At 40.4% G+C, this 11,691-nt stretch overlaps 1 protein-coding gene across 4 annotated transcripts in view; it reads right to left on the bottom strand.

Annotated features, from left to right (window-relative positions):
• VKORC1L1 (vitamin K epoxide reductase complex subunit 1L1) overlaps window positions 581-11,691 on the bottom strand; it is a 93,787-nt gene continuing 82,676 nt past the window's right edge. For 3 of the 4 annotated variants that reach the window (XM_011515831.3, XM_047419923.1, NM_173517.6), the window contains 2 exons: window positions 11,359-11,468; window positions 581-6,065 (listed from right to left, as the gene is read on the bottom strand). In XM_011515831.3, the coding sequence (XP_011514133.1) occupies window positions 5,839-6,065; window positions 11,359-11,468 (337 nt within the window). In that variant the 3' untranslated portion in view covers window positions 581-5,838. The remainder of the gene's footprint in view (window positions 6,066-11,358; window positions 11,469-11,691) is intronic. The other variant, NM_001284342.3, reaches the window with a different exon arrangement.

Genomic DNA, 11,691 nt, shown 5'->3' with positions numbered 1-11,691 from the left:
CCTCCCAGAGCACAGTCTTTCCTTAAGGAATCTGTCCTCCCTCTCTTCCTGGGCTCCAGTAAGGCAAGGATGGTGCATCAATTCTGATTTGAAGTATACGCTTTGGAAAAATACTCCTTTTGGTGTCCAGTCAGTTGAAAGACAATGAACCAATACAGTTTGTTTTGTTTGTTTTGAGACAGTCTTGCTCCGTCGCCCAGGCTGGAGTGCAGTGGCGCAATCTTGGCTCACTGCAACCTCCACCTCTGGGGTTCAAGCAATTCTCCTGCCTCATCCTCCCAAGTAGGTGGAACTACAGGCATCTGCCACCATTCCCAGCTAAATTTTTAAAAATATTTTTAGTAGAGATGGGGTTTCACCATGTTGGCCAGGCTGGTTTCGAACTCTTGACCTCAGGTGATCTGCTCGCCTCAGCCTCCCCAGGTGCTGGGATTATAGGCGTGAGCCACTGTGCCCGGCCTCCAATATGGTTCTTGCTATAGAACTTGATTTTCCCCTCTCTTGTGGTTGAGCCCCGTGTCTCCACACAGACCCTCCTTTTTAGCTTTCCTGTGCAAGCTCCATGAAAGAAAGAATAAAGTTAATTTCATGTGGTTTTATTAGGCATCGTCCATTTTTTAAAAATGAGTGTAGTCAGTTCCAATTAGGAATCTAGAGCTTCTGTATTTTTTTTATCAACTTCTCTTTAGTTTTTCAAAGGAATCAAGTTTTGTGTTCCAGTATGTCAAAGTATAATGAATAAAACTTTTAGTTGACAAACATTAAGAAAAGTTAAATGTAATAGACACATTTAAATGGTTTACAAATTAGGGGCAGTCCATTGTTTTTTTTCTTGAGCTGGAGTCTTCCTCTGTCGCCTAGGCTGCAGTGCAGTGGCGTGATCTCGTCTCACTGCAACCTCCGCCTCCCTGGTTCAAGCAATTCTCCTGCCTCAGCTTCCTGAATAGCTGGGATTACAGGCGCACACCACAATCCTGGCTAATTTTTCTGTATTTTTCAGTAGAGGCAGGTTTCACCATGTTGGCCAGGCTGGTCTTGAACTCCTGACCTCAAGTGATCCACCCGCCTCTACCTCCCAAAGTGCTGGGATTACAGGCATGAGCCATTGCACCCAGTGGGGGCAGTCCCTTTCCACAGGTCTTGAGCTCCAGCACAGAACACACTTGTTCTATTCCGTGAAGTATGGCTCAGCTGTATTTCCAACGGATTCATCTTTCTTGCCGATGCTACCTTTTTAGAGGATTATACAGGGAGTATTCAAGGTAAGCTAAAGTAAAACTATGGAAAAACAGCTCATTAATACATTCTGAGTGTTCACAGAACTGTAGGCAGTGACACATTTTTGTCATTAATTCTTGACAATCACATACACCGTAAACCTACAGGAATTCCAAGAACTAGAGGTCTGAGGACTCTGAATCTTCTGCAAGTTACATATGATTTAAGAGAAAAAGAATCAACCCTGTATACCTTAGAAATGAGGTTACAGTATTGACTTCAAGAATATAAGGCTCCTACTGAGTCTAAAAAGACTTCGTTTCAGTTCTTTTGGAATGCAACCCTGCAGTTTAAGAATAATGGGAGCACAACTTCCACAGGTAACTTCTACATTTATTTTATACCAAAAAAGTTATGTGCAACAAATAAACATTCTTACATATTTACATTTGGTTTTATTTACCAGTTAGCAAAACAGTGCCTTAAATCTCTGATAAAGAGTATTTCTATCTAGATTAAAGGGGAAACCTGCCCAGTGAACTCCATTTTAAATGACTGTTTACTCTGGAGCTTAAAGCACTAGTAAGAAATATTTCTGATGGAACATACTACACAGATCATATACCTAATAAATACTTAGGCCATGCTTAATACAGTTTTATAACAAAATATTTCACCTTTTCTGGGCGAATTTGTAGTAAAAAATGTTTAACCAAGTAGCCGGGGCTCCCACCCTTGCCCTTTTTGTTTGATGGAAGGGTAGTTCTCACAATTAGAAACCATAAGTGCTGCCTGAGGTGTCTGAAATGTTTCACCCATGACTGTGTGTTAGAGAAAAAGACACGAGGACAGAAATTGCATATTAGGTCATTAGGTCTTTTTCCCCAAATAGGTTACCAGAAATCACAGTGGGTCTCCTTGTTGGCATCTAATAATGATCTTCCAAGACAAGATCTCCTGTCACTCTTGGTACCAATCTAAGTTGTGAAGTAATTGCTGAAGATAACTCTGTACTTTTGCAAATAGTCTTTTCCAAAACTAAATGAAAAACAAAAGTCAACAAATAGTTTTTATTTTTATTTTTTTATTTGAGACAGAGTTTCACTCATTGCCCAGGCTGGAGTGCAATGGCGCAACTGTGGCTCACTGCAACCTCCACCTACTGGGTTCAAGCAATTCTCCTGCCTCAGCCTCTGGAGGAGCTGGCATTACAGGTGCCGCCACCATGCCCAGCTAATTTTTGTATTTTTAGTAAAGACAGGGTTCCACTATGTCGGTCAGGCTGATCTCGAACTTCTGACCTCAGGTGATCCAACCGCCTCGGCCTCCCAAAGTGCTGGGATTACAGGTGTGAGCCACCATGCCCAGCCAGCAAACAGTTTTAATTTCACTGTAGTCTTGGTCCTCTTTGAATGCAGTCTCTCTCTTTTTTTTTTGGGGGGGGGACAGTCTCGCTCTGTTGGCCAGGCTGGAGTGCAGTGGCATGATCTTGACTCACTGCAACCTCTGTCTCCCGGGCTCAAGCAATTCTCCTCCCTCAGCCTCCCGAGTAGCTGGGATTACAGGGGTGTGCCACTGCGCCTGGCTAATTTTTGTATTTTTAGTAGAGATGGGGTTTCACTATGCTGGCCAGGCTGGTCTTGAACTCCTGACCTTAGGTAATCCACCCGCCTCGGCCTCCCAAAGTGCTGGGATTATAGGCGTGAGCCACCGTGCCCGGCCGAATGTAGTTTCTTTGAATGAAAATAGTCAATGCTTTGAACATCATTTGAAAGTAATGAATTTAAGGAGAGGACACATGTATGAAGGAACAGTGATTCTGGGCACACAGCTAGTTAAACCTGAGTTATTTCACCGGAAATTTACCTTTAGTGAGAGCAACTAGCTGTAATGCAAAACAAATGAAATCCTCCAAATCACCTAGATTCCCTAGAATTTATCATCTAACCCCAATTCCTGTTATTTCTTCAAATGATATTTGTGAACATCAAGTCAATAAATGGCTTCATTTGGAACAAATCACTTAAAAAAGATGAGGCATGGAATTACTGCTAAAAACAAATGTTTCCCCTCATCTGTCCTTTAACACTGGTGGCTAGTAATGCTGCAGTGTTCAAATATTCAGTCTAAAACAGGCAAAACAATCTTCTAATTTTGTAACACTGGTGATTCCCCCCCTCTTCTGGGCAGAATCGGAGGTATAGAAAGGAATCTGAATTCTCCAGGGCAAAAAACACCCAATTAACACCCACCAGGATTCTGTTACTGAGACACTGGCATTACAATGCTGTTATGACAGGCAGTACGTGTTCCTCTCTCAGTGAGAAAAAGGGTATTAATTCGACTGGGCCATAGGAATGTGGCAAAAGTTTTTATACAACTGAAACAGTGGTTTCCCCGAGGCTTAGAAAAGCAAAGGAAAAACTGGAAGGGTCTGGCTGACCATTTTGCCATGTTTTCTCAGGTAAGAGTTGAAGACATTTGCAAGAATGCAACATCAAGACAAGCTTTAACTATACTCTGTTGATTGATACAAAATAGGATGAAAAACCATTGGATATTGGGACACGAGGAACTTGTTTAGCACAACCGATGTCATGTATACCACAGTTTTAACCATTAGGCCATTTCCACTGTAGCTTAGAAAAAAGAACCAGAGGACTGCCTTGGTAGAGCTGGATGCGCTGCTACAAGATGGCCTCACTGTACAGCCCTCAAACGTGAGGACTTCTTTCTCCATAGACACCAGATGGCCAATCAGTACTTTCTAGAGTTCTTTAACTACTTCAGAATGCAAGAACAGTACATACATACTCCAACAGCCATTGAAAGATTCACATTCATGGGAAAACACAAGTCTTGATGAAATCTTGACTTAAGCTCTCTTTTAAGAAACTGGTTGAAACTGGTGAAAAGTTCATTATGATTTGGACTTGATACCTGCCTCGGGCCAGAAGACCTACGTTGCATCAATTCTGAGTCAGTTGGAAGCTACGGAATTGTTGCTGACTCTACACATTTGAGTTTACAGAGCAGAGCCCGTCCCCTCCCTTCAAAGAGAAGGCAAATAAAGCACTCAAGAGATACTGGTCTCATTGACTATTTTCAACATAAAATGATTAATCAGGTTGGAAGCAAAAACATTACTGCTGCTTCTCAACCAGAGGATTAAGTGATCACACAGGACCCTTCTGCAGAGTGCAGGTTTTCTACCTGACGGTGAAGAAAGGAGGGAAGGACACTTCTTCTGCCCAAGGTCAACACACAAAATATTTGGTTTGAGATTTAAGACAGAAGGCACTTTTAACATTCTGATATCAGATGTTAACCATACAAACATCCTGTCACAATTTCATTTGGGTGTACTCAAATCCCCTTACAAAAGTCTTCTTACTGCATGTGTGTCATTATGAGAGCAGTGGCGACATGAGCAGATTTAGCCTTGAGATGTGTCTACCTGTTGCTATTCTCCCGATGAAGCAAACTGGGCAGCATGTCAGCCCTGAAGGTTACAAATCCAGTATTTGACTGCAAAACAATTAAATTAGACATCTGAGTGGTTAGTGCAGAAAGAAACAATTAGCAAGAACACTGGCTCCCACTCCGGAGCGATGGGGCTTGGACTGGTCTTTTCCATCATAATACTCTTTGCTTGACTGGCACCAACGTTAAGGAAAAATATCTGCATGAAAATTCAACTAGTGGAAGAAACTTTACCTAAAAATGCCATGTTTATATTTCCAGCTTTTCTCCAAAGAAAAATACCCATTTTCCCATCCTTAGTGTCTGAAGGCCTTGGACTTGAAGGTCTGGCCACATGACTCATTCTGTAAGGTTAACAACTGGCCCAGTTTTATGACTGAACACAAACTGGACTTGAACGTTCCAATTCAATTTTTTCCTTTCAGAAGAGGGAGATGAAAGGGAACCGACCACCCTATTATTATTTTTTTTGCCCTATTATTTGCTGCAACCACGGCTGCCAGTACTTTTCACAAGATGCTGTGTATAGGCTATTTTCACTATCTCCTCAGTCAACGCTGAGCTGACAGTTCTTCAGTGCTACACTCCAACTAAACTGTACAGTAAGTTCTGCAGAAATGGATCTAATATTTCTACCTTTATTTACAAATATCACAAATGGATTCTAGTTGAATCTACATGTTTAAATCCATCGGCTAAAAACATATTACATATTGTAAACATGGCAATATTTAATACAGTATCTATTCTAGAATATTTTCATGTCATGATCACATTTGTTATACCTGAAATTGAATTTATACACATTAAAGAATTACTAGCAATGGTTGCTCACTTTACAATTGAGGGCAGGGGGCTAGGGCTACATTTTATCATTTCAGAAACACTTCAAAGTAAAGTTAAAGCTTGTCTTTGATTGGCTCGGCGTATCCTTTTTGTATCCATATTTAAAATGAAGACTGACACAGAAAATAGCGAGGGCCCCTTCTAATTTACCGGATTTTTAAAAATCAGTTTGAGATTCTTAGGGAAAGTGTCTGTTGTGAATAATAATAATAATAATAATAATAAAAACCTGCTGCAAAATAAACTGAATGGAAAGGGGCTTGAGACTGTTAGGGTGGAGTCTGTCGGGCGTCAGTCCTGCTTGGGTTGCAGCTGCCGCTTCCAGGCCTCGTTCAAGTAAACTAGTCGTTTGTAGTTGATAATGAGAAGAAGGAAGTTCAGCACGTACGTGACGATGCAGATGATGCAGAACTCCTTCAGCACAAAGTACAGAATGTAGGCCAGGTACAGGGACCCCACGACCGACATGATGGAGGACGTCATGAGGATCAAAGCCGCCACAGCGCTTGCTGTCATGCCTGTAAGAGAAGAGACGCAGGCTCAGTCAGGCCTTGGTGCTGGAGAGAGGCTTTCTGAGTGACAAGGAATAACACTGTGTGACTTGCTGCAGTGTTTGAATACTGATCTTCCTGCCAACTCTGAAAATTGAGAACAGAAATACTGCTCTGTTTTGTTAAAATTATACAGGTTGACTCTGCAGTTGATAATGCCAGGTTTTGGGGTTTTTGAGATGGAGTCTCACTCTACCGCCCAGGCTGGAGTGCAGTGGCACAATCTCAACTCATGCAACCTCTACCTCCTGAGTTTAAGCAATTCTCCTGCCTCAGCCTCCCAAGTAGCCAGGATTACAGGCACGTGCCACCACGCCTGGCTGATTTTTTGTTGGCCAGGCTGGTCTCCAACTCCTAACCTCAGGTGATCCTCCTGCCTCAGCCTCCCAAAGTGCCGGGATTACAGGCATAAGCCACCATACCCAGCCAAATGCCAGTTTTATAGCTGTGATGTTTTTGATTTCTCAATCTTTCAGGTAAAACATTACTAATTTCACAAACTAGCCTAGTTGAAAATATGCACACAAAGAAAACATGCAATCTCACAATCACATTAAGCAATGAAGCTGACTTGTAACATCAACAGCCCCAAGACACCAAATGAATAACGGGACATGAGGACCACAACCTTTTTCTTCCGAGCTGCACACATTTGGTGAGAACCTTCTCTGGACTTTCACTACATCCTGCCCATCTGTGGAAAGTAAAATTTGCTTTTCCATGTTTAGATCAAATTGATTAAAAATCCACAATGAGAGGTGACTACACCAACAAGCTGCTGAAGAGAGAAAAAGAAACTCTTGATAAACATTTCAGGAAGGGCTCACCCTGGTGGATAAGGGAAACCACATTTTGCCCGTTGGCTGCATGTGGGTCAAACCTGATCAAGAAAAATGGTGGACATGTGTGCTAAATCCAGGCTCTCAATACAAAAAGGCACCTGAAGCCACGCACAGTGGCTCATGCCTGTAATGCTAGGACTTTGGGAGGCTAAGGCAGGCAGATCATTTGAGGTCAGGAATTTGAGACCAGCCTGGCCAACATGGTGAAAGCCCCTCTCTACTAAAAAGTACAAGAGAAAAAAAAAATTAGCTGGGCATGGTATTGCACGCTTGCAACCCCAGCTACAAGGGAGGCTGAGGCACGAGAATTACTTGAACCCAGGAGGCGGAGGTTGCAGTGAGATAAGATTGCACCAGTGGACTCCAGCCTGGGCGACAGAGTCTTAACTCTGTCTCAAAAAAAAAAAAAAAAAAAAAAAAGGAAAAAAAAAGGCACCTGAATTCTGGACTCTATCTTCACATGTATTGTTTTTAATTTCTTATAGGCAACAGTATAGAGAATATGTGCATTTATTTTCAAGGACAGAGAAGGCAGAGCATGTTAAACTACCCTCCTACCCAATGACTCATGGATAAGGATAACAGAAACAGGAACAAAATAACAGGTGGGAGCAGGTATAAAGAAGTCAGTTAAAGAGCTGAAATCCTGGGCCCTGTTGGCAAAAAAAAAAATGCAACAAGAAGACGCCTGTGGGCCGGCTGCCGCACAGCCACGGGCCTAGATGCTTTCATAGGGCACTTCAAGACTAAGGTGCTGCTGAATTACTTGTTGCAGGGACTAGCAAATCTGGCCAGCTACCTGCTTTTGTAAATAAAGTTTTATTGGCACCCAGCCATGCTCATTCATTTATGTAATGTCATTCATTACGTAATGTCTGTGACTGCTTTCATACTAGAAGAGTTGAGTGGCTGCGGCAACTGGCAAAGCCTATTTTCTGCCAGGCCCTTTACTGAAAAAGTTTGCTGACTTCACCTATGCTAAACAACTAACATTTCGAAATTAATGTGGTCACAATTTTACCTAAGAAAGTTAACTTCAGAATGATACGGGCAACTTATTTCTTCCTCTATGCCTTTCTTTTCTCAACTGTAAAATTGGGATAACAATCATGCCTACTTCTTAAGACTGCTGGGCAATTAAATGAGCTGAGATAATGCAGGATTAAAGCACTTAGAATAGTGTATAAATACCAGATATCCATTAAATGCTACTGTAATGCAGCTAGGTACGTTTGGCTCAGGGTCAAATTCCCAGTGGAATTTAAAATGTGCTGTAACTCTAAATAAATGATGGTACAATTATGCAATGGATTATTCTGCAGCTGTAGAAAAGAATGAAGACATTTAATATACTGATATGGAAAAATCACCATGATATATTCATCAGGCAAAAAAAGAAAATGCAAGCTGCAGAACAGTGGGTATAGCATCTGCCTTTTATATTTTAAAAAGGAGGAAAATTAAGATTGTGTATTTGTACTTTCTCGTATATGCATAAAGAGACAATAACAAGCTACCAGTCGGGGCTGAGGAGCACTGGAAACCAGGCATAAAGGGAAGGGGTGGGATAGATTTTTCTTTGTGTAACATTTTATATATGTATATATATATATATTTTTTTTTTCCTGAAGGAGTCTCGCTCTGTCACCGAGGCTGGAGTGCAATGGTGCGACATTAGCTCACTGCAACCTCTGTCTCCCAGGTTCAAACAATTCTCCTGCCTCAGCCTCCCAAGTAGCTGGGATTACAGGTGTGCGGCACCACACCTGGCTAATTTTTGTATTTTTAGTAGAGATGGGGTTTCACCATGTTGGCCAGGCTGGTCTTGAACTCCTGACCTCGTGATCCACCCATCTTGGCCTCCCAAAATGCTGGAATTATTGGCATGAGCCACTGTGCCCGGTCCTTTTTAAAAACTTTTGAACCACGTGAATGGATTACCTATGAAAAAATTAAATTAAAAATGCTGTGTCTCAAACAGGTTAGAAGGGAGTACAGATGCTGTGCTCTGGAAATTGCTAGGTTAGTTCAAATGTGCCTCCCATGAAGACACCAACATTAAAAGGCACGTGAAGCATCTAAATGCGAGTCAAAAAATGCGAATGAAAAAACACATGTGATAAATATGATTTAAAATATGTATATACCATGGCATTAAATTAATGGTAAAACAAAAATTTGGCTGTCACACCTCTATCTTCAAGAGTTAATCTAGTCAAAGGCTGTTCTTAGGTTCTTTGCCTTTAAAGGAAAACATCTTGCATCTGGGCTTATACTTCATATTCTTCTCTAGAAATCCAGCAAAATGGAAACATGCAGAATACCTAGTGAAATTTCTCCCTCCTCCCCAACCACCCGACCCTTTTCTATGCATTTACATGCATGTATACAAACACGTTTATCCTATACCTATTATACCAAAATTTGCTTTTTTCACTAAATAGTGTCTTTATCTTTCTAGGATATAAACATAGATCTCCTTTTTCCTTTAATGGCTACATAGTATTTCATAGTATTTTCTAATTTATTCAACCATTATCTATTTGTAACCTACCTCCATTTTTTTTTTGCTATTTTACACTGTACTGCTATGAATATCCTTGTGCACACATCTTTCTACTTCTGCAAGATAAATACATAGATATGGAACTGGGCAAACTCGACAGAACTACTGAGGATGATTTAGATTTATAATTTGCCTCATAACAAATCAATTTCAGATAGAAGAGTTACATGTATTTTTAATGAACCAAATCAGAAGAGCTGACAGGTAATGGAATATTAACAATTAAAATACAAAAGCATTGGTATGCAACAAGATCTACAAAAAAGAAGAAAAATAAAATGCAAAGGCATCAACAGATGGATTTAACTCTAAAAGTATAAAAACTTAATACAATACAAATTCATAACACTAACAAAAAAGGATAAAGAATGCATAAAATGTTTGTAACACATATAAAAATGTACTAGTATCGGGATCCAATAACTAAATGCTAAATGGGCAATAAAAGGAAATTAAAAAGAGTAAAAATTAAAGTAATAGGTACTAATGTGTAACTATTAGCAATTTTTCCAGGTGAAGATTATCGTTACAATTAAAAAAAAAAGAAATTTTACAAAGCATGTCTTAAAAATAAAGACCGCTGGAGCTTCAGGGAAACCAAAGAACTGAGGGAAAAGCAAATTGGTAACACTGATTAAAATTGAAAATATCTGTGTTTTTTGATACTATGCTTGGAAATTTATTTTGTGGAGATAATTCAAAGGAAGGAAGGAGCAGGAGGTCTTTAAACAAAGTTGATCACTGCAGCATTATTTGGAAGTAAAAGGAGTGAAACCTAGATGTTAACAATAACACTTAGGATAAACGACACTATGTTGAAACACAGTTCACATTAAATTATTAGTTTTTGAGACAGCGTCTTGCTCTGACCCCCAGGCTGGAGTGCAGTGGTGTGATCTCGGCTCCCTGCAACCTCCATCTCTTGGACTCAAGTGATTCTCTCACCTCAGCCTTTCAAGTAGCTGGGACTACAGGTGTGTGCCACCACACCTGGCTAATTTTTGTATTTTCTACAGAGACAGAGTCTCACCATGTTGCTCCTGGGCTCAAGTAATCTGCCCTTCTCGGCCTCCCAAAGTCCTAGGATTACAGGTGTGAGCCACTGCACCTGGCCCCAAGTTATTATTATTATTATTATTTATTTCTTTTTTGTGAGACGGAGTTTCGCTCTTGTTGCCCAGGCTGGAGTGCAATGGCGCGATCTCAGCTCACTACAACCTCCGTCTCCCGGGTTCAAGTGACTCTCCAGCCTCAGCCTCATGAGTAGCTGGGATTACAGGCATGCACCACCTCGCCCAGCTAATTTTGTATTTTTAGTAGAGACAGGGTTTCTTTATGTTGGCCAGGCTGGTCTCGAACTCCCAACCTCAGATGATCTGCCTATCTTGGCCTCCCTAAGTGCTGGGATTACAGGTGTGCACCACCGCACCCAGCCCAAAAATTATTTTTAAAAGCAGAAGACTGTGGAAATAGTGGATATGTAAAGGTAATGGGATTATGAATATGGTTTCTTGTTAATGTCCCCTTAATATATGATATTTTTCAAGGCCACTGAGTCTATAAAATAAGGAAAAACGTTAACAGGGAAGATGGGAGTGATAATTTCCTGGAATGGGACTGGTTTTTCTGGACATCATGAGATACTGCTCTCCATGATTAAACAGCAATTGACATAAATTCAACAATAATATAATAAAAATCTCAGTGAATCAAGTTTTCATAACACAAAAATGTTGTACACGCTAGTGGTTCTATAAATAACACATGCTTTAACATCAAGACACTTCAGGGCAAAGACACAAAGTACTAAACGGAATATAACAAACTTATTTTTGTATTGATAAATACTTACCAAGTAATAACTGTAGTATATAAAATATAAGTCCAAAGACACTGTTTGGCTGGTTTAATACACCATCCTTTCCAAAAATGGAACCCAAAAGACCAAATCCTCGACCCCATCTGTAAAATAAGGAAAACCAGTAACCCTATATTTGAATTTCCCTATTTTAAAAAATGTATCATTATTTGAGAACGTTATCCAATTCTAAAATCAACTAAGTTGTGAAATGTCTTAAATGTCCTGTGTTGAGAGAGTGATTTGCCCCAAAGAGAGGGAGGCCAGTCACTAGATTTCTGATTAGAAATAATCATCTAAAATGAACATATCTAAAGGTGCCAGTAT

This window comes from Homo sapiens, chromosome 7 (assembly GCF_000001405.40).
Source record: "Homo sapiens chromosome 7, GRCh38.p14 Primary Assembly".
In the NCBI taxonomy this organism is placed as follows: Eukaryota; Metazoa; Chordata; class Mammalia; order Primates; family Hominidae; genus Homo; species Homo sapiens.
Note: the sequence above shows the minus strand (reverse complement) of the source record. Positions and strands in the feature narration are given on the sequence as shown.